General features: G+C 42.6%; 3 protein-coding genes, 1 long non-coding RNA gene and 1 pseudogene across 13 annotated transcripts in view, besides 1 other annotated feature; 3 read left to right on the plus strand and 2 right to left on the minus strand.

Moving 5' to 3' along the window:
• The first annotated feature begins 999 nt into the window (after nucleotides 1-999).
• PANX3 (pannexin 3) lies at nucleotides 1,000-9,928 on the plus strand. Its single transcript, NM_052959.3, has 4 exons — nucleotides 1,000-1,309; nucleotides 2,552-2,694; nucleotides 6,846-7,060; nucleotides 8,868-9,928. The coding sequence occupies exons 1-4, from the start codon at nucleotides 1,129-1,131 to the stop codon at nucleotides 9,505-9,507; spliced, it is 1,179 nt and encodes a 392-aa protein (NP_443191.1). The 5' UTR covers nucleotides 1,000-1,128; the 3' UTR covers nucleotides 9,508-9,928.
• LOC124902779 (uncharacterized) lies at nucleotides 5,616-12,773 on the minus strand. The gene is made up of 2 exons (XR_007062932.1): nucleotides 6,888-12,773; nucleotides 5,616-5,935 (listed from the first exon to the last, which is right to left on the minus strand). It is a non-coding gene; the product is annotated as an uncharacterized LOC124902779 (long non-coding RNA).
• Nucleotides 12,436-25,498, plus strand: TBRG1 (transforming growth factor beta regulator 1). 8 transcript variants are annotated; one of them, NM_032811.3, is made up of 9 exons: nucleotides 12,436-12,805; nucleotides 14,503-14,573; nucleotides 15,243-15,475; nucleotides 16,045-16,181; nucleotides 16,476-16,622; nucleotides 19,960-20,057; nucleotides 20,317-20,427; nucleotides 20,847-20,989; nucleotides 21,665-25,498. In NM_032811.3, the coding sequence occupies exons 1-9, from the start codon at nucleotides 12,656-12,658 to the stop codon at nucleotides 21,808-21,810; spliced, it is 1,236 nt and encodes a 411-aa protein (NP_116200.2). In that variant the 5' UTR covers nucleotides 12,436-12,655; the 3' UTR covers nucleotides 21,811-25,498. The 8 variants fall into 8 exon arrangements, 6 of the variants coding, with proteins under 6 accessions (NP_116200.2, XP_047283703.1, XP_016873931.1 ...); NR_016021.2 differs by lacking the exon at nucleotides 16,045-16,181; XR_007062515.1 differs by lacking the exons at nucleotides 20,317-20,427; nucleotides 20,847-20,989; nucleotides 21,665-25,498 and adding an exon at nucleotides 16,265-16,323 and having other exon boundaries at nucleotides 19,960-20,044.
• Nucleotides 12,513-12,582: an enhancer, noted in NCBI's record as "active region_5688". NCBI's record gives its function as "activates an Ori minimal core promoter by ATAC-STARR-seq in GM12878 lymphoblastoid cells {active_cell/tissue: GM12878}" and the evidence as "EXISTENCE:reporter gene assay evidence [ECO:0000049][PMID:35858748]".
• The window catches only part of SIAE (sialic acid acetylesterase), a 43,191-nt gene continuing 38,942 nt past the window's right edge, over nucleotides 22,685-26,933 (minus strand). For all 3 annotated transcript variants that reach the window (NM_001199922.2, NM_170601.5, XM_047427132.1), the window contains one exon: nucleotides 22,685-26,774. In NM_001199922.2, the coding sequence (NP_001186851.1) occupies nucleotides 26,523-26,774 (252 nt within the window). In that variant the 3' untranslated portion in view covers nucleotides 22,685-26,522. The remainder of the gene's footprint in view (nucleotides 26,775-26,933) is intronic.
• RNA5SP352 (RNA, 5S ribosomal pseudogene 352) lies at nucleotides 26,031-26,164 on the plus strand (annotated as a pseudogene).

A 26,933-nucleotide genomic window follows, 5' to 3' on the forward strand; every position in this document is an offset into this window, starting at 1 on the left:
GGCTGAGGCCATTTGGGCAGGGCCTTAGAGAGTGGTTTCTAGCTGGGTGCACAGACTCTGAATGGACACATCCCCTTGGGCCCACGTACTCCTTGCCTCATGAGAAGGACACAACCAAAGAGGATAAGGTTAAGAGCCTCTATTGCCAGTTTAAGGGCAACACTAGAGACAAGAGTGCCCTATTCTCCACTTACCCACCCCCACCAAATTGAAATAAGAGCTGACACTTCTGCTACACTTTACGGTTTACAAAGCACCTTCACAAACAATACTCTTAATCAATCCCCACAGTCTTGTAAGCTTGTTACATATCACAATTTGAGAGATGGGGAAACTGAGCTAAAAGTGACTTGCCTGAAGTCACACAGTTAAAACCTGAGTACTCCTAGGTCTCCAGTGGAGGAGTTTCTCCTCCGAATTTCAAAGGTTGTACTCTTTCCATGACTCAACACTGCCATGCATCCCCCAGCTTTGTAAAGAACCCAAGGGCTAAAAAGGAATTGGAAATTGTAAATATGTAGTTGAAACATTTTGGAAAAAAGACCATAGTCAGGGAAGGAAATCTAACACCAAATACAGAAAAGTTCTGGGAAAGAGTCTGGGCCCAGAGCAAAAATCATCACTGGGACAAAGACTACTATGTAGGGTAGCAATCCCAGCTGGGTCGTGGGGACTCCATTCCCACTCCAAACCACAAAATGAGTGCCTTCAAAACATTTAAGCAATCCTCACCCAAATTCCACACAAATTACATGGAGGGGGGTCCTGGCTCCACAGCCCTCCTTCTCTCCACTGAAAATACTTTATCAATGACAGGGCAGCATAAAGCCACAGACCTCCATCTGCTCTAGGACAATCCAGACAGCAGCGTGGCACCAGGCCCAGGTAAGGCCCGACCCTCCTCCAGCAAGGACCCGCTAAGGCTATGCCTCCCTCTAATTAGCAGGGCCTGGCTCAGGGCCTGGGCAGTTATTTAGAGAACCATCGCCTGCTCCCAGCAGAGATATCCATAAGGCTGGGGTGGCAGGCACTGTCTGCCCAAAGTCAGCTGCCTGAAGCTGCCGTCTCCTCATTCCACCATCCCAGGACCCCTGCTGCCACCTCTGCACCCCCAAGCTCAGCAGCATCATGTCACTTGCACACACAGCTGCAGAGTACATGCTCTCAGATGCCCTGCTGCCTGACCGCAGGGGACCCCGCCTCAAAGGACTGCGTCTGGAACTGCCCCTGGACCGGATAGTCAAGTTCGTAGCTGTGGGCTCCCCCTTGTTGCTGATGTCCCTGGCATTCGCCCAGGAGTTCTCCTCTGGTAAGTTGCTTCCAAGACCCAGTGCGCAAGAGAGACTCCCCCTCATGTCACTCTCTGCATGGGCTCTGAAGTGAGATGGTGCGCACAGTGACGGGATTCCATGGCTTCGGGCTGGGCTGGATTATCCAAAAGGCAGATGGTGCATGAGTTCAGGGCACCAGCAAAGCAGAGGCACCAAAAAATTTTGAAAGTCATCTCCAAAATGTTACAGTAAAAAAAAAAAAAAAAAAAAAAATTGTTGTAATTTTAGTATTCATATATTTTATGTCATTTCAAATGATGAAAGCTTTATTTTGGCTTTCATTATGGATGAAAGAAGTTGACACTCCTGGTAATGTTTTTAGGGCCTTAGACCTCTTCATCTTAGCTGGGCTGTCGCCAAGTCTCTTATTTGCTCTGGGCCCTCTTCCCACCCCTAACCCGCCAACTCCAGGGTTATTGACTTGAGAACATGTGTTAAGTGCCTGAGGGCCATGCACATTGGAGATGCTGCATAAACCCACTGCTTCCTGTCTACAAACCCCAGCCGCACACACAGACATTAGCATACACATACATCTAGGGTTTCAGGTGCTAGATTCAGTCAGCAAATCCACTACCTTTGTTAAAGAGAATGTGGACTTCCTGAGAACTGAGACTTCTGGCTTTCCTTTCTGGCAGTGCCATTAGCTTACTACATTTCCCAAACAGGTGTGCCAGCCTCCCACCGCCTCTTTATTCATCCACAACCAGGGCAGAAGAAATGGCTCCCACTTCTTCCTCTTTCTGGAGAATGATGTGAAAACAAAAAGGCAGGAACTCTCCTCCAAGTCCACTTTCCTTTCGGCATAATTTGCCCACCCTTTCTCTTCATTTAGGCTCGGAAGCCCAGGCAATTCATCCTCAACATTTTAGAGTCTAAAGGATGTCAGTTATTTCAGGAAAGAGACATCACCATCAAACCGCAAGCCTTCTGGTACCAGACTACAGGAGCACAAAAAGCCCAGGGGGTGCTCTGAGAGCAAAGAACCACCAGACCCAAAAGGCTGAGTCAGCACTGGCAAGCCCTGGCCATACAGTGGGATGCGTCCAGGAGTGCCCTGTCCTACCGTGACATGGCAGTGCTCAACCCAGAAGACTAAGGTGTGGGAAGAAGACAGTCCCTGCCAGAAACAGAAACTGGGGAAGAGTTAGATGATTGCCCCTGAGTCCCCACTCCTCCACTCCAACTCAGGCGGCCTCAAAGCTGTGTTCCTGTTGCAGGGTCTCCGATCAGCTGCTTCTCTCCCAGTAACTTCAGCATCCGGCAGGCAGCCTACGTGGACAGCTCCTGCTGGGACTCACTGCTTCACCATAAGCAGGACGGGCCTGGCCAGGACAAAATGAAATCTCTCTGGCCCCACAAGGTAAAGCAAACTCTCTGTAAGGCCAGCTTCACGGCTGAGTGGAGTGGTGCAGAACCCCTTCATTCTACTCCCTCTTGCCTCTATCCCCACCACCCCTAACCCATTTATTTTGGTCACTTACTTTCATGTTTCAGGCATTCTCTGAATCTGGCAATCTTTGGTTGCTCCCTTTTATCTAATTGGAAGCTTTGTGCCTAAGGGTGAGGCACATAAACAGGCAGACTTCGGTTTAAGGTGATCCCTTTGGTCTATTTCATTAGTATGTGAAATATTGACTCTGTAGTCCTTTCTCCTGGGCTCATCAGTTTCCTCCTAGAAGAGTCATTCAAACCTTAATTTGTGGGGAGGGGCGGGGTGCAGTTGGAATTAAGCCAGGCTGCCAACCCTCTAGGAACTCGGCTGTGGGTCTCACCATTCAGAGTTCACTCAGCTGCTCCCCCTGTCCCAGCACGGCTCCCCTGCCTCAATGGACCCAAGAGCAGAGTTTAATCTGGTTTAATCTCTCCAGGGAGTAACCGTCAAGCCTCTGTTAGGGGAGGGAAAGAGGAGCCGCTTGACTGCCTCACATTACAGAAAGGATCTGCGGGCTGCTTCTCACACAGATTTTTCCAACAAGATCCCTGTTTTCAGCCTCTCCTGCACTCTTGTTTTCAGAAGTACCTGGTGTCTCCAATTCCTGGTTCTGTGGTGAAAACAGCCTGCCTGTCCCTGCCTCCTCTCCCCATCCTCCCCATGAACTGGTGTCTTCTATCTTGCAACTGCTTTCCAGTCTTCAATATTGGGCTCCCTTGTCTCCTCTCCTGTTCTCTTTGGCCTTATAAAAATATGTCTTATTGTCATCCTAGTGGGGTTTTAGGAGGAGGCAGTGGTAACATGTATGTTTGATTCACGAGGTTTAGTCAGAAGACACTCGTAGCATTTTCTAGGCACGACAGTTTCAAGGCGTCAAATTGCCACAGTTCTAGGACTGAGACAAAACCAGAGACTTAATGGAAAGAGTTAATGAGATTTCTATCACTGGAAGTTCAGGAAGGATCTAAATGGTAAAAAAAAAAAAAAAAAAAAAAAAGAAAAATAAATTCTGTGGTAGAGGAATTCACATATAAGAAAAGGATCAAATTGCCTGATAATCAAGATCGCCAGAAAACTTTATTTTTTTGAGACGGAGTTGTTTTGTGCTTGTCACCTAGGCTAGAGTGCAATGGTGCCATCTTGGCTCACTGCAACCTCTGCCTCCCGGGTTCAAGCGATTCTCCTGTCACAGCCTCCTGAGTAGCTGGGATTACAGGTGCATGCCACCATGCCTAGCTAATTTTTGTATTTTTAGTAGAGATGGAGTTTCACCATGTTGTCCAGGTTGGTCTCAAACTCCTGACCTCAGGTGATCCACCTGCCTCAGCCTCCCAAAGTGCTGGGATTACAGGCATAAGCCATAGCACCTGGCCACCAGGAAGCTTTTTAAACCCAAATTCTCAGGCTCCACTTCAGCCTACTACAACAGAATCTCTAAGTATAAAGGAAGGGTTTATTTTCAATAAACGCCCTTTCTTTTTTTTTTTTTTTTTTTTTTTGAGACAGAGTCTGGCTCTTGTCCCCCAGGCTGGAGTGCAATGGCACGATCTTGGCTCACTGCAACCTCCACCTCCCAGGTTCAAGCGATTCTCCCGCCTCAGCCTCCCAAGTAGCTGGGACTACAGGCACCCGCTACCATCCCCAGCTAATTTTTGTATTTTTAGTAGAGATGGGGTTTTATCACGTTGGTCAGGCTGGTCTCGAACTCCTGACCTTGTGATCCGCCCACCTCGACCTCCCAAAGTGCTGGGATTACAGGCGTGAGCCACCGTGCCCAGCCAAGAAATGCCCTTTCTTAGCAGCAAAAAGTTTCTAATTTTCTCTAGAGCCTGGTGTGCCTTTCCCAACATATCTTTCTTGTTTAATTCAGAAAACACAAACACACACCTTTCTTTTCTTTTCTTTTTGAGACAGAGTCTTACTCTGATGCCAGGCTGGAGTGCAGTGGAGCAATCTTGGCTCACTGCAACCTCCGCCTTCTGGGTTCAAGTGATTATCCTGCCTCAGCCTCCTGAGTAGCTGAGACTACAGGCACCCGCCACCAAGCCCAGCTAATTTTTGTATTTTTAGTAGAGACAGGGTTTCACCATGTTAGCCAGGATGGTCTCGATCTCTTGACCTTGTGATCCAACTGCCTCAGCCTCCCAAAGTGCTGGGATTACAGGTGTGAGCCACTGCGCCCGGCCCCACACCTTTCTTTTCTACCCAGGTACAATCAATTATGTATCCTCCCTCTTTTTCTTCAAATTCTCTTCTGAAATAACAAGCCATCCCTGGTTCAGGAGAAGCTATAAGTGAAGTAATCATTTAGGGAATAAGCTCCAGAATCAGACAGCCTATAGTTCTAAATCCTGGCTCTCCCACCTACTTGATGTACAACCCTGCACAGGTTACTTAATCTTTTCATGCTTTGGTTTCCTTATCTGTAAAATAGAGATACTAAATTGTATCTACCTGATGACATCCTTGTGAAGATCAAATAAAATAATGCATATTAAGCACCTAGCAAAAATGTAGCTTTAAAAAATATTTACAGGCTGGACGTGGTCGCTCACACCTGTAATCCCAGCACTTTAGGAGGCCAAGGTGGGCAGATCACTTGAGGTCAGGAATTCAAGACCAGCCTGGCCAACATGGTGAAACCCCATCTCTACTAAAAACACAAAAAGTAGCCGGGTGTGGTAGTGAGCACCTATAATCCCAGCTACTTGGGAGGCTGAGGCAGGAGAATTGCTTGAACCCACAGGAGGCGGAGCTTGCAGTGAGCAGAGATCGCACCACGGCACTCCAGCCTGGGCAAGAGAGCGAGACTCAATCTCAATAAATAAATAAATAAATAAATAAAAATCTTTACAAGTAGAGATTTTACTGTAGGCAAAATAGTTGGCCCAACCCTGCTAGGTGTGGTAAGTATGATGAGGAAACCTGAAGAAAAGTGCCTGTGTTAATTTGCTAGAGCTGCTGAAACCAAGCACCACCAACTGGGTGGCTTCAACAATCAAAATTATCGTCTCAGGGTTCTGGAGACCGGAAGTCTAAGATCAAGGTGTCATCAGTATTGGCTCCTCTGAAGGCTGCAAGGGAAACGTCTGCCAGGTTCCCACTCCTTGGCCTGTAGATCCAGTGCCCTGGGCAGTCTCCCTGTATGCATTTCTGCTTCTTTACCTGGCTTTTTTTTTAAAAAAGAAAAAAAAGAACATCAGTCATAATGAATTGGAAGCCCACCCTATTCCAGTATGACCTCATTTTGAATTAACTAGTTGCATCCACAACAACCCCATTTCCAAATAAGGTTTCATTCTGAGGTACTGAGAATTAGGACTTCAAGGTATGAATGGAGGGAGGTGGACATGGACACAATTCAACCCATATCAGTCCCTTATTGCAGATAGCTAATGATGCAGTCATTGAGCAGACAAGGCTTATGGATTCCTGAAAGTCACTTATAGATTTACATGCCTGAAAGAGCCCCGCAAAGAATCCCAAGACAGTGTCTGATAGTGTAGTTTGGCATTACCAAGAATCCAAAAATCAGAAAAGACCACTGTGCATCAGACAAGTCCAGGAAGGTGACAGGGAAGAAATGGGATTTTCTCTCCCTTAGGACAACATGGCCTCTGCTGGCCATGATCCCTAGCTAGCTAGCTGCCCAGACTACTTTGAGGGAGGTAGGCAGATGGCTCTCTCTCTCCTTTTCTCTCTCTCTCTCTATATATCCCTCTCCTGTCCTCCCCTCCCCTCCCTTCCCCTCTCCTTCCCACCTCTCCTCTCTCTCTCTCTCCTTATTCTCTCTCTCTCTCCTTATTCTCTCTCTCTCTTCTCCCTGGGACCCCACACAGACCCTGGATCAGAAAAGTGAACCAGGGGAGCATGAAGGTGCACATTCCTTCTGAAGCAGGCCCGCCTGTACTCAGCCAGGTCAGTAGGGTGCCTCAGGGGCTGAGCCTGGGCTAGCCCATTCCCCAAACAGCCTTCCCCTGCTGAGGCAGGAACAGGGGAAAGGAGAGCCCCTCAGTCAGCACTGTCACTCGGGGTCTCAGCAGCCCCGGCCTCCCTCCTCAGCTGCTCTCGCCCTGCAGGCCCTCCCCTACTCCCTGCTGGCCCTGGCCTTGCTCATGTACCTGCCGGTGCTGCTGTGGCAGTATGCAGCTGTGCCAGCCCTCAGCTCCGATCTGCTGTTCATCATCAGCGAACTGGACAAATCTTATAATCGCTCCATCCGCCTCGTGCAGCACATGCTGAAGATCCGGCAGAAGAGTTCCGACCCCTATGTGTTCTGGAATGAGCTGGAGAAGTGAGTTGTCTCTTCCACCTTTTTCTGAGAAATTCAGTCAAGCATTAAAATGATAACTTTGCATAGTCATCTTTAAATGATCTTCCATGCCATCCTTCTCAAGAAGGCAAAGTGCTTAACACATCATCTCATTAACTTTCTATTGTTTCTGTAAAGGGAGAGAGAAAGGACTCTTCCTCTAGTGTACAGATGACCACACTGAGCCCACAAAGGGATTCATCTGTCTAGAATTCCACTTTCATACACTACTGCCTTCAGAAACCTTAAATAGCTCCCTTCATGCCTACCAAAGAATACCCAAACTTTCCCAGATATGTGTGCAAGGCCCTCAACACACTGTCACCATCTACTTTTTCAAAATTCTAACTACCAGGTGACAGAAACCTTCCACCACACTTAGGCAGCCTCCTCCTTTTCCCCTGAACAAATTATTTATCTATGTAATCATTCCTCCACCTGCATACAGGCATTGTCCTGGGTGCTTCTGATACATTCACTTGTATGTGTTGGGGGATGGGGGTAGGAGAGACAAAGCTGTACCTACCCATGTGGGGCTTACATTCTATTAAGGAAACACAGACAAATAAACAGAACACAGAAATGAAATCTACGTTCTGAGATAATAAGTGGTATGAAGAAAAGAAAAAGTAAAGTGGGAAGTGGGGCAAGAGGAAGCTGGAGGGATGGAGAGTGGTGTAGCTTCACACAGAGTGGCCAGGCTAGATGGCCCAAGGAGACAATTGCGCTAACATTTGAATTATATTGTCCCATATTTATGCACATACTCTATCTTCTGAAAAAAAATCCTCTCTATCTTTTGAAGCCCAGATTTCAGCCAATATTTTCCATAAGGGTTTCTGAACATTGAAGGCCACACTGTTACCTCCCTCTCCTAACTTTTACAGCCACTGTGGTTTGTGTCCACTATTTTAGCAACAAACCAAGTGTCATTTTTATTCCGTATTTGCATGTCTTATCTGCCCCTTCCCCACAAGCCAGTCTCTAAGCTTCTTCAGAGCACAAACTGGCTTACATGTACCTGAACACCAAAGCTCTCGACAAACATTTGTGAGCCAAATTATTTACATAAGATGAATGAATTGTCCCAAAGATCATACACAGAGTACACAGGCCAAGAACCAGAATGTACTTTTTTTGGAGTGGGGGGGTGGGGGAGACAGGGTCTCACTCTGTTGCCCAGGCTGGAGTGCAGTGGCACGATCTTGGCTCATTGCAGCCTCAGTCTCCTGGGCACAAGCAATCCTCCCTCCTCAGCCTCCCAAGTAGCTGGAACCATAGGTGTACACTACTACACCCAGCTAATTTTTGTATTTTTTCATAGAGATGAGGTCTTACTGTGTTTCCCATGGTAGTCTCAAACCCCTGGGCTTATGGGACCCTTCCACCTCGGCCGCTGGGATTATGAGCATAAGCCACCATGCCCGGCCCAGAATGCACTTAGCTAAACCCCCAATCCAGTGCTAATTTCATAAGCCTATTGCTACCTAAAGATCCTACTTCAGCTTAGAACTTTAGTCCGCCTTGCTTGGCAGAAATCCAGTGTAATAAATCATTACTCACTGATCATTCACTGGGTTTATCACATTGCAGTAAGTACTTGGAGAATCAAGATATACTCATATGCCTCAGTTTGGGGGAGAAGCATGGTTATGCTCGGGAAGACAGATTTTCATGGGAACCAAGAATGCCATGTTGAAAACAGATCTGTTACTTTGTCACATGCCTCTCTTAGAGTATGGTTCTAAATGGTCACTACTAACCTTGCCTCCTTCCTTCCACTGCCCAGGGCTCGGAAAGAACGATACTTTGAATTCCCTTTGCTAGAGCGGTACCTGGCATGTAAGCAGCGTTCACATTCGCTAGTGGCTACCTACCTCCTGAGGAACTCCCTCTTGCTCATCTTCACCTCCGCCACTTACCTATACCTTGGTCATTTCCATCTGGATGTCTTCTTCCAGGAAGAATTCAGCTGCTCCATCAAGACAGGGCTGCTAAGTGATGAGACCCATGTCCCCAATCTGATCACATGCAGGCTGACATCACTGTCCATTTTCCAGATTGTTAGCCTCTCCAGTGTAGCAATATACACCATATTGGTTCCAGTGATAATATACAACCTCACACGGCTATGTCGGTGGGACAAACGACTTTTATCTGTCTATGAGATGCTCCCAGCTTTTGATCTCCTCAGCAGAAAGATGCTAGGATGTCCCATCAATGACCTCAATGTGATCCTTCTTTTCCTCCGAGCTAACATCTCTGAGCTCATCTCTTTTAGCTGGCTGAGTGTCTTATGTGTGTTGAAGGATACAACCACCCAGAAGCACAATATTGACACAGTAGTTGATTTTATGACTTTATTGGCTGGCTTAGAACCCTCAAAACCCAAACACCTCACCAACTCGGCATGTGATGAACACCCATAGTTAAGAAACCATGGAGCAAGAAAGCTTGTGGAAAGTCTCTCTCCTTCCTCATAAGACATGCACACTAATACACATACACACCAAAAAATTACACATTTTAAAACTGCTAAGCTTGGATTTAACTGAATCATATATCTTTTATCATGTTATCCTAAAAGTGAGAAGACATAACCAAGACATGGAAATAAATGTGAAAGCTGGAGCCGAAGAGTCAAAGAGCTAAAAAATTAAGTCTAGAACATTCTATGAGGATAGTATAAATAAAAAGAAATACAGTCTAGACATGCTGCAAGGAAAGAAGATTCTAAAGTCCGTTTATGGAGGCAATTCCATATCCTTTCTTGAACGCACATTCAGCTTACCCCAGAGAGCAAGTGAGGCAATCTGGCAAAAGATTAATAAAGATGTAAACCCCTGGAAACCCTTTGGTGTGGCCTGAAATCCTAGGAATTTACCCAGCTTGCTTTGTAGAAGTTATCAACCTTGTCCAAGTCCTCTGTAGCCTCCAAAGTGCTGGGAGATGATGGCTTCAATTTGTAATCTGCTCTTAGGATGTAAGGACATAGTAGAACAAGGCTGGGGCCATGTCTCAGCCGTGAGTGGAGCCTTCAGGTGCCCAGATACACTTTTCACCATCTAAACCAGGAACTCATTTCACCAGGGGCTGGGATTATGGGCTATGGACTTCTTCACAACTGTTAACGGAGCCAGGTATGCTTTTAATACTCCAGAGGATACTATGCCTTCCCTTACAGCTAATCACTGAATAGCAAGCACTTACAAATGGGTAGACAGTAAAGTGCTATTGAACTTCTTTCTCTTCTGATTTATTACCCTATTTTAGCTTCTAACTCCCATTCCTATGCCTGTAGTTAATGGAACTTTGGTCTGACTTCAAAGACCACACTCAGACACAATATCATGCTGTCTGCCATTTTATATTTCTTTTTAGAGCTACACATTATGCATTTCTTTAAAGAATTTTTGCATAGGCCATTTAGACCCTTCTTCGTATAGTTAAGTAGAAAAGTTGTGTTGCTTCTGACAGATTCAGGTAAGTTTACCTAACACAAGCAAAGAGCTGATAGATGGTTTCCTATTGTCACTGGGTCAAAGTCCAACTCTTCAGTTGGTACACAAGACTTTTCATGACCCAAAAAACCCTACTTACTGCTTCAGTCTCTCTTCTTGCTTCTCTCTACACACATCTTTCACACTGATCAACTACTTGCAGTTCCCATACTGAGCCTTTGCATATGCTGTCTCCACCATCCAGCATGCCCCCCTTTGTTCTTCACTGGGCCAACCAACCACTACCTCTCCTTCAGAGTCTGCCCAGATGTATCTCCTTTAAGAAACCTTTCCTATCTCCTCCCTCCTTCCCTGAGTGCTGCCAAATAAAATAAAACCTACCTCTGAAACAAACTTATTATACCATATTAACATTGCCAATTTACTTGTCTGTCTTTCCTTCTTAAATTAAGGTTCTTAAAGGTGGTATCATAATAGGCACTAGGTAAATATTCTTCTAAACAAATAAGGACTGAATGAGTTGCTCAGTGGCATGACCTTTGTGGAGCACACATATCCAGCCTCTGAACAGTCCTATATGGAAAAAGCTTTGGACGCAAAGATATGCTTTTAATGGAATTGACCAAAAAGTCAAAGAACATGGAAATAATTATGCAAAATATAATATAGCCATAACTGGAATATTAACCAGCCACTTAAAATTATGCTTATAAGGAAGCTATACTAACATTTGTGAAACTGAAATGATACAATGGTAAATGAACAAAAAGAAAACTTTATTTTCAGTATTGTCTAACCTATACAAAAATGCATAAAATATTAGACACATATACTAACATGGTAAAAGTAGTTCATTCCAAGTGGTAGCATTATGGATTTTTAAACCTTTCTTGTACTATATTTTCTAAATTTCTAAAGTTCGAATGAAATGTTTTGTAAGTGTAAGGAAATGTGTCCAATGAAGAAGAAACAAAAAATATCTTCATGCAAATCCCACTAAAGTCCATTGGCCAAAACAGCCTGCAAACTAGGACAAAGGATAGCACTTTTCTTCCCCCTAGATGTGATACATGTATATGAAAATAAATAATACAAATAAAGTCAGACCCCAAAGCCCGCAAGGACAAAATACAGCAGAACAGCAAATTTTTTTTTTGAGAGAAAAAACTAGAGAGTTACTGAACTAGTTATTGGCATCGCTGGAAGAAGATGCAAGCAAGCCTTCTGCCATCCAGCCTGGGTCACTTACCAATACCGCACCCTAAAGATTTTTCTATCTTCCCTAATTTTAAATAGACCTTGGTTGTAAAGTTAGAACCATATACATGTACATATTATGTACAGAAATACACTTCTGGTTTCACTAGACAAACATTTACTGAGTGCCTACTTAGTGCTAGTATTAAAACTGCGTGTTAAATCTCTCATCTTCCCTACTAGAAAGAGCCAAGGCCTTTCTTCCTGTTCACTACTGTGTTCCCAGCTCCTGGGAAGATGATAGCATTAGGAGGCCCTGCAAACACATTTCTGTGAGCTGCAGAAAGGAACGAAGCAGGGAAAGAAGCAGAGTCCCAGCACTTGGGCTCACTTTGTCCTACAGTCTGGGAAAGCCTGTCTGCACGAAGCATGAAAAACGTATTAAAACGCAGTGGCCCAGCGGGGGAGCGTGAATGAGAGCTCGCATTGGTAAGCTTCTTGTTAGTTCGTTGGTTCAACTATAGTACCCTTCAGCTAAGCACACGGCCGCCGGCCCTCCCTCCTCTCCTCATCCAGCACTAGCCCCCAGCTGTCTCTTTCCTCCCGGTGCCCACGATCGCACCGCCCAGACCACCCTACTCTCCCTGCCCCGGAAGTTACACACTGCCGACACCGGGACGTAACTTCCGGGAAGGGCTTACTTCCAAGACAGACACGGAAGTGCTGGGAGGCGCCGGGAGCCCGTTCGGTTGCGGGTGTCTCTGGCCCTGCGGTCAGCCCTGGGAACGTCCCGGAGAGCTAGATTCCTAGAGGCCCGATTCCGCTAGCCCGGAACAGACAAAGCCAGCGCTCCCGCCCGCTCCCCGACTTAGGATCCGATGCCGGCAGCGTCCTGGGGCCCCCGTAGCGGGGCTGGACCATGAGCCTGCTGGACGGCCTCGCTTCCTCGCCGCGGGCTCCGCTGCAGTCCAGCAAGGCCAGGATGAAAAAGCTCCCGAAGAAGAGCCAGAATGAGAAGTACCGGCTGAAGTACCTGCGGCTGCGCAAAGCGGCCAAGGCCACGGTGTTTGTGAGTCTGACCCACGTTCAGCCGGTCCCCTCCTGGAGACTCCCTCACAAAATCTTTCCCCAAGCTGTTCCCCCTTCCCAGTGTGACAGTATTAATACAGTGTTGGCTTTTCCGTATACGTTACTACTTGTTAGCCTTGTGTCCTTGGACAAATTACGTAATTTCTCTGTGTCCTCATCTGTAAATGAGCTAGTAACTGTCTTGCAGAATAATGAATATTAAATGAGTAAAGAAAAGTGCTTGGTGCGTAAAAGACATACCAATAAATTTTAGTCATCGTTGTTACTGCAGGACTCTAGGAAATGTGTTTGATTCTCGAGATACAGCCCTGAGAATTAGGCATTATTTGTAAAATGAGAACACTGAAGCCCAGAGAGATGATTTGCCCAAGGGTACTGTGTCAGAGCCCTGACTCCAACTTAGATAAACCTGATTCCGTTTTATGACTTCCAGTACACAGACTATTTTCTGAGCACCTCAAATCCCCATAACTGACCCTTTGCCCAAAGAGGTACATGAAACTGTCAGTAATTTCCCCCCTCTAACCTTTGAGTGTTCCAAGTGTTTCTTCCTTTCTTTTATTGTAGAAGCACTGGATTTATTGAGTGAATAAACTTAATATAGCTTGCCAGCCATAACTTTATATTAGAATAGTTTGGCTTGCCTCAGTGCTTGGAAATAGGGGTGGAGTCCTCAAATGTCCCCCCACATCCAAGTCAACAGTTCATCTCTTCTCTCTACCAAAAGCTTGAACGTCTCTCAGCATTTTTGGAAGCATAAGGAAAGGTTCAGAAATTAGAATACACATTCCAAAAGCACTTATTCAGCACTTGCTATGTGTATTGCTTGCTATTTGCACTGGAGAGAAACAAGAAAAGTAAAACTAAGAGAACTTAGCATCTGATTGACTGTTCCCTTTCTTTTATCCCCTATACGTCAAAGGTACCTAAAGCTTGGAATTTATGTTATTTCAAGGATATTGGTTCCATCAAATACATAATGAAGATTTTGTGAAGAAAAAGCGATGTTGTTTTGAACATTGAGAGTTTGAAGTTCCACCTATGGGGGCATTCAGATTCAGCATTCCCTTCAGGATTGGTGCTTGGGAGATAGATTGAGTCATCATTTACAAAAAAAAAAAAAAAAAAAAGAAAAAAGATAATACTTGAATTCGTATAAGTAGATTGTGAAGTTTAAGAATTTTACACACTAAATTTGATTTTGTTCTGTCCAGTTTTTCTCTATTTGGGTTAGACTGGCTTTGTAAGTTTTTCAAGAGTTGAGGCACTTGGGAATAGACAGTTTTCATATTTATAGTATTTAATTTAAGCATATAAGGATTTAAGCAGTATGCCTTTTTCTTTGCCAAAGGCTATACTAATTAGGGTGACCATTAATCTTGGCTTGCCCAGGACAGTCCTGGTTCACCGTATTGTTCTGGCATAAGCATTAATAGTACCCCCTTTTCACTCAAAGATGTCCCGGATTGGATAATAAATTACATAGCTATACCCTGTCCATAGTAGAACCTGACTACCTTTATCTATGGATTTATTTATAGTTTGTCACACGGTCGAATAGCTCCTTCTTCTCAGTAATACAAGCTTTTTTGGTTTGAAATATGGATCCTCTTCCCAGCATAATAATGTGATTTTTTTATTCATTTTATGTTATTATATTCACATTTTTACTTAAAGGAAAATGCTGCTATTTGTGATGAAATTGCTCGTCTTGAGGAAAAATTTCTTAAAGCAAAAGAAGAAAGAAGGTGAGCTGGCTTCATTTTGTGTTCAGCATCACCTTTTTGGTGATTGATTTGGTGATTGATAATGGTGTTACTGCTCTGGAGACTTTTTTTCCCAGTGGGATTGATGCGTATCGCACAGCCCCTTGGCCACTTGATCAAGCACAGAGAAACTTACAGCCTGAGGCATTGGTGCCTGCACACCCAAGTTATGTTGGGCCATGGCGATGAGACAGCTCCTCTACTCATCTTTCTGAAAAAGCCATCTTGCCACATCTAATAAATAATCTTACTAAGATTATTTAATCTTATGGCCCAATTATAAAAGCCAAGTGATAAAAGCAACTGCCTCTCGTTCTACAAATATTTATTCTGTACGTACTATTCTGTGCAAAGCACAATGGGTATATATACATGTGTAAATAATGTGCCTTTCAGAAGCCTAACACCGTCCAACATCAAGGTAGAGGAACCGTCCAGATGCAAGAGATAAGCTACAGTTCTTATCCTTGGCCTCTTGAAGTATTGATTATCCTCCAGGGCTTTATGATTCATAGGGCCTAATAAGAACCTTTCTTTTATGAGTATAGTAATCTTTGTATATAATTCTGGCTTTTCCCAGTACTTGAGTAAAATACTGAATTGAGACAATACGGAAGTTCATTTCTCTGCTCCTTTCCTTCCTGATCTCAGGTACTTGCTAAAGAAGCTCCTCCAGCTTCAGGCTCTAACTGAAGGGGAAGTACAGGCTGCAGCTCCTTCCCACAGTTCCAGTTTGCCCCTGACTTATGGTGTGGCCAGCTCTGTGGGAACTATACAGGGAGCTGGGCCTATTTCAGGGCCCAGCACTGGGGCTGAGGAACCATTTGGGAAGAAAACTAAGAAGGAGAAAAAAGAAAAAGGCAAAGAGAACAACAAACTGGAAGGTACTTTGGGGAGATGATATCAGTTGCCCCAGTGACTCACCTACTAATGACAGTTAGACCTGGTACTAACTGACAGACACACACAGCTGCAGATGTACTTAGAGTCTCATCTGGTTCTTAAGGAGCCCTAGGAGCCCTTGAGAAAACAAATGTCAAATGTATTAGAGCCACTTTGGGTGGAGAAATTCGAGCTAGACTTCGTTAAATGCAAGGGGAGCAGACTGAGACTTCCCCCTTCCCCCAACTCTCTGGGTTGCATTCCATTTAGTCTTTCCTAGAGGCAGGGAAATGGGCTAGGTGGCCTTTGGAGCACACTGCTGGCTTGGTAAATTTCTGATCTTACAGATGAAATAAGAGGCCTTAAAAAGTATAAGGCCTTTGGCTCCTAAGCACTAATCTGGGCAGGTTAGAAAGCTACTCAGGGCTTTGGGCGAAAGCCCCATATGCCCATTCAGTAAGTATATAAAACCAGGATTGGCTTATTGCCCTCACCATTCACGTGCAAATTTATCCCTTCCCTTCAACATTGGAAGGGGCCTAAAGTGGGTGACCCCAGATTTGCGTTTCAGTTCTGAAGAAAACATGCAAGAAAAAGAAAATGGCGGGAGGTGCTCGCAAGCTGGTTCAGCCCATTGCCCTGGATCCCTCAGGACGGCCTGTGTTCCCCATCGGACTAGGGGGTCTAACAGTATATAGCCTGGGGGAGGTGAGTGAGACCAGCGATATATAGAGAGGAGAATCAGGGAAATACGGGAATGGGGTTGAGCCTTCCCTCCCTGTTCCCATTAGCAGCAGCCTCTTGCTGATCCATACCAACCCCAGCGTATCTCCAGTCCCTGCAAAACCAGGTCAGTGTTGTCTGCTACACAGCCTACTCTCTGTCTTTGTGTGATTTGTCACTCTTTGCAGCCCCAAAGTGGTTCTAAAGGCTACCACAGGAAACTGGACTTCTAAATTCTTCAGTGACCTCAATCCCAGGTTGGGGGAATGTTTTTTATAGATCATCACCGACCGACCTGGCTTTCATGATGAGAGTGCCATCTACCCCGTGGGCTATTGCAGTACTCGAATATATGCCAGCATGAAGTGCCCAGACCAGAAGTGTCTATATACCTGTCAGATCAAGGATGGTGGTGTGCAGCCTCAGGTACCCCCTCTAATAATAACCACTGTTTGTCTTTAGAACCTTCTCTGTGCTAGGATATGTATTACCTGTTCTGATACCTTACAAGGTAGATATGTATAATCACCATTTGGGTAATCCCAAGATGCAGAAAAGTGGCTGGCCCTAAGTCACACCTCTGCTAATAAGTGGTTGAGTTTGGATGTGAATCTATTATCTGTCTCATTCTCAAACTGATGCTCTTTTCTCTTGAACCATGCTACTTCAACTGCTGACTTTGTGACTATGTGAGGCTTGATCAAGCCTACTTATGTGAGGTACAGGCCAAAATAGAGGGAAGATTAGTTTGATACACTGCCATTTCAAGTTGGACCAAGATGGAGTTAGCAAAGAAATTGCATATTAGTTTCTGGCTGCAAATACTCTTAAGGACCTGAGAGTCTTAAATCCTAGTCTTACTAAATACCTTTTTTCATCCTTCTCAGTGCTAAGATTTGAGACAGTACATTTTCCCCAACCATCATCTCCTGATTGTTAGGGAAAAACAAAAAAATAGACCATTTTCGGAGTTCTAAGCTTCACTGAGGAAGTTACAGATCACTAGAAAGTAAGGTAGAAGGAAGTAGAGGCAAGGTAAGGAACCTTTGAGCAGAAGCTGGGAGAACCCTGAGACAGCTTGACTTCTTATAGATAATATTGCATCACGCCTATCAGAGCATTGTTAGGCATAGTTGAGAGCTTACGTGACCTCAATTATGCAATAGTTTCTTTAGAAAGACTCATTATTGTAACGGTATACCATATTTATAATACATCTTTAAATGCAATGCAAATCTAATCAAAATCCTAGTAGAAATTGAAAAGCCGATTCTTAATTTTCTCTGAAAAACAAAATGCTAGAACATTTTTGAAAAAGAAGAATCTGTGGAGTTTTTAATTTTCTTTTTTAGGTCATTAACCTAACTGGACATTATTTTTAGGTGTGTGAGCTAGGAATCTAGCTTCAAATTTTGTTCCAACTAACGTCAAGTAGCTGTTTTATATATATATATATATATATATATATATATATATATATATATATATATATACACACACACACACACACACACACACACACAGACTAAATATATGTAATTCTTGTATCTCTTTCCAGATGATTCCTTTTTATTCATCTTTTTGTCTATACATGTCAATATGACTTTTTATTACTTTAGCTTTATTGAATATTTTATTCTATAAATATGTTAAAGGAAAATGTAAAAGAATTTTTTATAATCTTAGGGTGAGATGAAAAGGCTTTCTTTAGCAAGACATGAAACTTAGAAGCCATAATGGAACATAATAACATATTTAACTATTAAAAATGTAAACTCTTCTGAATGGCAAAAGACACCATGATCAGAGTTAAAACACAAGCAATAAACAGGAAGAAAACGTATGACAAAGGATTAATACCAGATAAAGTGCTCCTGTAGAGTAGGAAAAAGCAATATTAAAAAAAAAAAAAAAAAACCCACAGGCATTTCACAGAAACAGTGCAGATGGTAAAGTGTGGGCCTCATCAGTAAGTGGGGAAATGCAAATAAAACAAAACTGAGATCTTATTTTGCTCATAGGCACATATCAGAGGGATTAATAATATCCAGTGCTGGCCGGGGTGGAGGAAAACAAGTACACGTTAGTAGGAGTGAAAATTGGTAGTCTTCTGGGAGGGCAACTTGGCAGTATCAACAATTTTAGTATGTGTATCATTTGACCCAGAATATGTCTAGATAGTCTAGTATCTAGACTGCACTAGGTACACATTTGCACCTAGAGAAATGTGCAAATGTGAACAAAGTAACATGTAACAATGTTCACTGTGGCAGTATTTGCAATAGCAAGAAATTAGAAATAGCCTAAATACCTATCAATGAGAAAATGGTTAAGTAAAATATATCCACCGTTGTATGTACAGCAATTAGAAGAATGAGGTAGATTTATACATTAGTACTAACAAGGAGGTATCTTCAAGACTAAAGTATAACATTTCTATCTTTAATGCTCTTTACTCAAATAGGGTAAAAATTTCAGTACAAAAAAAGTAATTGAAATTGACATGACAAATACTAAATAGTAGAGCAATCCTGGACTATTTGAAATTAATTACACACAGCAAAATTAGCCGGGCCTGGTGGCGTGCGCCTGTAGTCCCAGCTGCTGGGGAGGCTGAGGCAGGAGAATGGCGTGAACCCGGGAGGCGGAGCTTGCAGTGAGCCAAGATCACGCCACTGCACTCCAGCCTGGGCGACAGAGCAAGATTCCATCTCAAAAAAAAAAGAAAAAGAAAAAAGAAAAGAAATTAATTGCTCATGGTTTTTTCATTTATTAGCTGAGAAATAAATATAAAACATTAGAATCTTAACCTGGCAAGGTATGCCATTGGTTGAAATAAGAAAACCACCATTGATTGAAACCACTCACAAGAGAATTTATTACTGACAAAATTGACAGATCTCTAAAATTTGACACGGTAAATTGAATCCAGTGAAATAATAACCACAGAAGAAAACTAACAGTAGTGGAAACTATACTCAGTAAAAATTGCTTTGACTTTTTTTAGAAATCAGTAGTGCTCGATATCATTCTAAAAAATTATACAGAAAATAAATTAATCCTGTTCAGGATAATTTGACTGAAGTAAACATTGAAGAACTAGAAACTGTTTAAATGAACTTTAAAACTAGTCAAATAATTTAATTGGCTAGATAGAACTTGTTACAGAAATATTTTCCTGGCAAAAAAATCATTGCGCTTTATAGAAAACTGGCCAAATAATTAAATCAGCTAGTTAACTTGTTACATTTGTTACAAAAATATTTTCTTGGCAAAAATTCCTCAGAATTAGTGTAATTTCGATGCAACAGTTTCTTTTTATTAACATAACCAAGATATTTTAACGTTCAAAATGAAAGTAAATACAATGAAATGGCAGTTTGCAGTCAGCCTGTTTCTCCTAGATCTTGTAAAATTGACTTAAAAGATTACATGGAGAGTGATCTCATTTGTTTTTAAAATACCATTTGTATTTGTACTTAAGGATATAAATAAGTGGATTGGAAAGGTACACAACAAATTAAACGCTCACTTTTGGAAAGCTGTCAACCAAGAAGGGTAGAACTGAAACAGTCAAAGGACTTTCTCTAGGTACTTGGATTTGTTTCAATTTTTAGCAGCCCTATAGGAAAGTATGTGTGTCCCTTCTGAAGATGGTATACGTCAGCTTCACGTTCCAGAGTAAAGAAATATTTACAGAGTAGTATGCCCCTCTCTCCTTCCTTCTTGAGGATTGATCTCATTGCTCGTTTGTCTTTCTCAGTTTGAAATTGTTCCTGAAGATGACCCCCAGAATGCCATTGTCAGCTCTTCTGCAGATGCTTGTCATGCAGAACTGCTCAGGACTATAAGCACTACTATGTAAGTTGACCAAAAGCTTGAAAACAGGCTAAAAGATCACTGTTGGTACAGTGAAACCTTTTCTCTTGCTTTTAATGGGTGGAGATACTTTATTTTATAGAAACCTATCCTGGATCCTCCTGACATTGTGCCAACTAGAGCCTCCACATTATCAAAGTCAAGAAAGCTTATCCTGTTTGTTCATACCACTATTCTGTTCTTAAATCCATCTTCATCTCCCGCTAAGCTCTCAAACTAAAATTATCCCTCTCCTGTTTAGGGGGAAACTAATGCCTAACCTGCTTCCAGCTGGAGCTGACTTTTTTGGATTTTCTCATCCAGCCATCCACAACCTGATCCAGAGCTGTCCAGGAGCTCGAAAATGCATCAAGTAAGTGTGATCAAATTCATTCCCTTGAGAAAAGCTCAGTGATCATCCGGCCAGGGACTGGCAGTTCCTACTTTGTTCACTGACCTTCTGTGTCCAAAGCCTGCCTGCTTCTCGACCAGTAGGGCTCAGTATTGGCCCCCTTAGCCCTCTGGACAGGTAAGCAAGAGCCAGGACTCCACTGTTCGCTGATTATTACTATTTTCTGTATGTACCATGACAGCAAAAGGGGTGGGAAATCTAGCAGACTAATTTGTCACTAAAGAGGCCTGCTTATTTCTTTTAGGTTTTTGTTAGCAAATATGTGTTTTAGATATATATGGGCGGAATATAAAGAAAAATTACCTGATCCCTTTAGTGATAGGAATGGGTATTTATGTCTAGCAGATAACTCTCAAGGGTGATTTCCCTTGATTCTGCAGTTACCAGTGGGTGAAATTTGATGTGTGCAAACCTGGAGATGGGCAGCTACCTGAGGGGCTGCCGGAGAATGATGCAGCTATGAGCTTTGAAGCCTTTCAGAGACAGATCTTTGATGAAGATCAGAATGATCCCCTTCTGCCAGGTATCTTTAACTTTACCTTTCTGGTTTGAAAATTGACTGTGTTTAGGCTACCTTCCCATCTTCACACATAGCCGAGTACCCTAAATATCTATGCATTGAGTGATAAAAGCTTTCATTGAATCAGCCTTGCGGAGTGCTGAGTTAGAGGGGGACCTGCGGCCTGCATAGCTTCCTAGATTACTCACAGATGTCATGGGGAGCACCTGCGATCATAGTAAGGCAGGGTACCCCAGAAACTAAGGTATCTCATTCTGTAACCTAAGCAAGACTGGAGCAGAACACCAGGGGAAAGTTTACTGTGCAGGGAATAACATTTCAAGTGAAGTCAGTGGGGTCAAGTCAAGGCCTTGGCCCTGCCTGTGTTCCATGAGTTCCTCCCACAAATGAGTGATCAAGGGTTCAGGCTTTGGGGTCATATAGGGAAAACTCTGGGTTAAAAAATGGAATTGAAATTCTCACTCTTTGCCTAATATACTATATAACCCTAGGCAAGTCACTTAATGTTTCAACCAGTTTTCATTGTAAAAGTATCTGTCCTATCTTAACAAAGGCAAAATTGAGCTGACAAATGCAAGGGTGTTAAGGAATTGATTGAAAGGACATGTATATGTCTGACCAAAACAGTCTGCCCAGACTCCCGAGCAGCAGTGGAACTTAAGGAATTGTTTTCTCCAGGATCCTTGGACCTCCCAGAGCTTCAGCCTGCAGCCTTTGTGTCTTCTTACCAGCCCATGTACCTGACACATGAACCCTTGGTAGATACTCACCTGCAGCACTTGAAGTCTCCATCACAGGGTAGCCCAATTCAGTCTTCAGATTGAACAAGAAGGGATCAGATGCCACATCGTTTTTGTCGTGATTAATTTAACTTAAACTAAAATTTTGGGTATATGAAAGAAGGCAGCAATTCAGAAGTAAAGAAGATACTAACGTATTTCATCATGGAAGGTCCTGTGGTGATGGTTTTCCCTGGGAAAACCTTCAGCTGCTTTATTTTTAGTAATAAATTTCTCTTGTCAATTCTGTTTACTTTCATCTTGTAATCGGGATGTAATCTTTTTTGCTTAGCTCTGCCTGAGGTAAAGTAAACTTCAGCCTCTTATAAACAAGAGTGATAGAGAGCTGCAGGCTGCTACAACAAATACCATAGACAGGTTGGTTTATAAATAACATGAATTTATTTCTCACAGTTCTGGATGCTGGGAAGTCCAAGTTCAAGGAGCGCAGATTCAATGTCTGGTGAGGGCCCACTTCCTAGTTCTTAGACAGCTGTCTTCCTGCAGTGTCCTCACGTGGTAGAAGAGGAAGGCAGCTCTCCGGGGTCCCTTTTATAAGATCACTAAGCCGGTTCATGAGAGGTCTGCTCTCATGACCTAATCACCTCCCAAAGGCCCCACCTCCCAATACCATCACATTAGGGGTTAGGATTTAACATGAATTTTGGGGACATATAAACATTAAGTCTGTAGTAGCAGCAGCTGACTAACGAGGGAGATAGGGAGATTCTGACAAACTTCTACTCTTGATTGTGATCCTAATTCAAGGAATATCAAGTCCCAGCCCCTGCAACCCAGGCTGCTGCTTAATTTTCATGTCAGTATCATCAAAATCCAATGTTCTGCTTAAACTCAAGATGGAAAGTCCAGTCCAAGGTACACTGTTCATCTTTTTCTTCACATTTTGCACATCCTTCAAGGGGATCTTTAACCTCTTTAACCTTTGTATTGCACCTCAGATAATGTGCTTTTTAGCTCAGTACACTGAAACCATATGATAACACAAATTCACATATAATTGGGGGTTAGTCCCATACTCTATAACAGACTTAGTCCTGTCTTTTCATTAGCCATGTAATAATATAACTCCATGTTCCATGCAACTGGATTTTTGGACCCTGTTAATAGCATTAAGGTAGAGGTTTACTCTATCACCTAACACCTCAACACTACCTGTGGGATGCCTTAGTTACCCAGCAGCAGGTTACCAAGGGCTGTCTGGAAAGGGAGGGACAAAAGGACCCAGAAGTAGAAGAATGGGGATGGAGTGGTGAGAATTGAATGGTTAATGCACTGCCATTCATAATTGCCAATTGAGGACAACACAAATGGGATTGGTACTTTATAGTAATAAATCTGACCAGCAGAGGGAGGGATCAGGCAGCAGTGTTTAGAGCACACCACACTGGCCACTGTAAACTGAGAAGCTAAGTTAACTGGTATTTTATGATTTTGAGTATAGTCTTTTTATAAGTTGTATACACTTTACAATGTAAAAGAAACAAACTTTGTATAATAGCAAATCGGGAAGGGGACTGCTTAAAATGTTAATGCAGTGTTTTTCTTTTTTTCTCTGCATAAATGGCTTGAGCATACTGGCATTTACACAGAAATGATATATGCTGCTTTTATCATATAACAAATATTTTCCCACTATTACAGCCTGAGTAATACCCGTATTAAAAGAGCCTCATTTTAGAAAGACATTTAAAATTTTTGGAACATACCACATGTAGAAAGGTTGAACTGGTTTTTCAGCTATAATGCATATACAACTATAGTGTGTACGTATACCACATATACATATACTTGTATGAAGATATGTGTAAAATGTTTTTACTATGGATCATGGATTTAAGAAACTTGAAAAGCTGGGCACGGTGGCTCACGCCTGTAATCCCAGCACTTTGGGAGGCTGAGGCGGGTGGATCAAGAGGTCAGGAGATCGAGACCATCCTGGCTAAGTCGGTCTCTAATAAAAATACAAAAAATTAGCCAGGCGTGGTGGCACGCGCCTGTAGTCCCAGCTACTCGGGAGGCTGAGGCAGGAAGAATCGCTTGAACCCGGGAGGCAGAGGTTGCAGTGAGCCGAGACCGCGCCACTGCACTCCAGCCTGGGCAACAGAGCAAAACTCCAACTCAAAAACAAAAACAAAAACACCTTGAAAAACACTGCCTTAGTATACTTAAACTATCTTTTCATCTATCAGATTGTTAAGGATTTTTTTTAAATTTGACAACATCCAGTGTCAATGAGGGTGAGGGCAAAAAAAGGACTACCTTGGTGAGAATGTAAGTTGTTTAATCCTTTGGGAGGGTTAAGCTGTAGATATCTAAATTTTAAATATATATTTATCCTCTTCCATGTTAAGAACCCTAAGAAATAACTGGACGAGTGTGGTATGATGTTTGCATGTGATATTCATTACAGTATTATTTTAATAGTAGAAAATTGTTAAAAATCTATATGTCCATTAATAGGAAATTGGTTAAATAAAATGAGGCTTCCACAAACTGAAACACTCTAAATCTATATTCTATTATTTACATAAGAAAATTATTTTGGTAAAGTAAGTAAGTCAAAAACACAGATTACAAAATAATATGTACTGTATAAAATTATATAACTCAAGTCAAGTGAATGGTTCAGCAAAATAGTGTTTCTCTGAATGATGAATTTGGGGGTGATTTTTACTTGCTTATACTTTAGTGTCCAAATTTTCTACAGTGACTATAAATTTCATTTTAAAACTAAAAAGTTCTTACATTTGGGGAAATGCAGTGAATTCCCACATCATGTTTTAAATTACTCAGCCACTAAAAATGAATGTGCATGGCGTCATTAACATAATCATTGCCTGAACCGTATTTTTCACACTATGTACTCTAGGTTCCTGGAGGTGAAAGGAATCTGGACTTAGAGTTCTTGGCTACCTCTGGCTGCCCCCGAATTAGAACAGCCCATGGGGGTATGTGTATTGGGAGTGGAGGAGTGGACGGGTAGATTGACTTTTTCTCAGGCATCAATCTGTTACAAGGTTCATGGTTTCTATGGGGCCAGATGCATGAGAGGTCAAAGCATGGGCAATAGGGGTTAACTGAACGAGTTGAATGCTAGGAAGTCCTCAGGGGAGCCAACGTTCCTTGTAAAGTGTGTAGATTTTTTGTTTTTTAACTAAATAAAATCTTGGCACTGACAAAGTTATTCCTGCTGTTTGGAGCTACACCAGAACCCCTTGGAACTCTACAGAGGGGTAGAACTAAAGCAAAAACCATCATTCACCCTACAGAGTATTATAAATTTCATTTTCACACAGTAAAAAGTTCCTAAATTGGGGGAAACATAGTGAATTCCACATAATGTTTTAAATTATTCAGCCACTAAAAATAAATTTACATATGATTTCATTAATATATTCACTATCTAAACCATATTTTTTACACTACGTAAAATACATTGTATATGTACAGTGAGTGATGCTTTTTGCTTTAGTTCTCATTTTTCACATTAAGGGGAGGAAAGCTACCCATAGATAGTATTCTTACTCCTTTTCACATGCTTCAAGGACAGTTTGCAAGTGGATATAAATACATACACATCACTAGTGATTATGCTTTTATTTATTTCCAACTTCTTATAGGTAACATAATTTTCAGACAATGTTAGCTGTTTTTAATCCATCAGTAAACTGCATTAAGATTCTTAATAAACAAACACTGAAGGCCTCTTTCATATTTGTATCATCTGCATTTTTTTTTATATGCTTGTCATGTGGCTTTACTTTCAGCCTCACTCTTTTCTTCTTCCAAATGGATTATCCTTAAACCTTTTACCTTTAAAGAGCCTGAGATTTATATTTAACTCGAACAACAGTTTGCCTCTGTTGCCCCTGTGTTCATGTTTTCCTAAGCCAGAGTTTCCCACGCCTCCTGTTCCTGGCAGCCCAAGTGCCTTCGCTGGGCTACTCCCACCTGGCCCTTGCTTTTCATTCCTTAGGGCAGTCACTTAGCACCTTCCAAAGTGCCTGCACATGTTTCTTATTTCATTTCTTAAACATTCATATTACCACTATTTAGATTGAAGGAACAGAATTGGTTTGGGCTTGAAGAGAATACAAAGAGATCTGTCTTCAATTATCTGATAGTAGTAAAGTTTCACGGGAGAAAGAAAGATTTCGGTTCCACATAAGGAAAAACTTGGAAAGTTTTGAATGGAAAGTTCATAGAGAGATTCAGTAACCACCTGTCAGGAATTTTGTAAAGACGTCTACGGCCATATCACCCTGAACGCGCCTGATCTCATCTGATCTCGGAAGCTAAGCAGGGTCGGGCCTGGTTAGTACTTGGATGGGAGAAATTTTATAAAGAACACATGAACACTAGCTGGCCTATGTGGCCTTTAAAATCTCTTCCAATCCTGAGATTCCCACAACTCTGGATAAAAAGGGGCAAAAGTATTAGACATTTCACTCCCATTAATATGAGGGAAGTAAATGACATTGAGGTCCAATTTGTCTGTAGTTCAGAATTAGTCCAATACAGACCCTTAGACCAACTAGGGAACAAAAAGCAAGCATTTCAAGTTACCTATAAGCCTGGGCTCATCAGAATATAGAAACAGCCATGTGCTAGCTGAAAGCCATTCAATGAGGCTTTCTATTAATTTCCTTTAAAAGCAATGGTTATTATTGAAACTCCTAAATGCTAAAATCTGAAGGACCCATCCTTATATCTAAGTTCTGATCATACTGAAACAGTCATTTAGCAACATTGCTCTGATGTCCAGGACCCTGGTCTGTAATGAAAGCAATGAAGGGAGGGGCTGGCAGGGCACTACTGGGGTGGTATAGGGGACACTGCTTATATTCACAAGGCCACGTGGTCCAAGCATAGCGGAGAGCAACCACAGTGCCATGACAAGAATCGATCGCCAGGGTCAGGGACTGGGTGGAGACGGTGTTCATAGAAGCTGGAAGCCACTTGCATCGATGGTCACTGCAACAGGAGATCTAATAAGAGAGCCATAAAATAGGAATGATTAGGTCAGAAGGGTCTTCCAAGAAACTGGGCACTGCTCTTTCAGACAGAATGGATGGGAGGAAAGGAGACACTCTTCACCAAGGACCTACTCCTACAGTAAGCAGAACAAACCTGAGCCCACTTTGGAT

This window comes from Homo sapiens, chromosome 11 (assembly GCF_000001405.40).
Source record: "Homo sapiens chromosome 11, GRCh38.p14 Primary Assembly".
Taxonomy (NCBI): Eukaryota; Metazoa; Chordata; class Mammalia; order Primates; family Hominidae; genus Homo; species Homo sapiens.

Excerpts from the sequence above, each read along its gene's own strand:
- PANX3 (NM_052959.3), top strand. The coding sequence starts at position 1,129 with ATGTCACTTGCACACACAGCTGCAGAGTACATGCTCTCAGATGCCCTG. Across the intron at positions 1,310-2,551 it reads CGCCCAGGAGTTCTCCTCTG|GGTCTCCGATCAGCTGCTTC; the intron begins GTAAGTTGCTTC and ends TTCCTGTTGCAG. Across the intron at positions 7,061-8,867 it reads TTCTGGAATGAGCTGGAGAA|GGCTCGGAAAGAACGATACT; the intron begins GTGAGTTGTCTC and ends TCCACTGCCCAG.
- TBRG1 (NM_032811.3), top strand. The coding sequence starts at position 12,656 with ATGAGCCTGCTGGACGGCCTCGCTTCCTCGCCGCGGGCTCCGCTGCAG. Across the intron at positions 15,476-16,044 it reads AGAGAACAACAAACTGGAAG|TTCTGAAGAAAACATGCAAG; the intron begins GTACTTTGGGGA and ends TTTGCGTTTCAG. Across the intron at positions 20,058-20,316 it reads AGGACTATAAGCACTACTAT|GGGGAAACTAATGCCTAACC; the intron begins GTAAGTTGACCA and ends TCTCCTGTTTAG.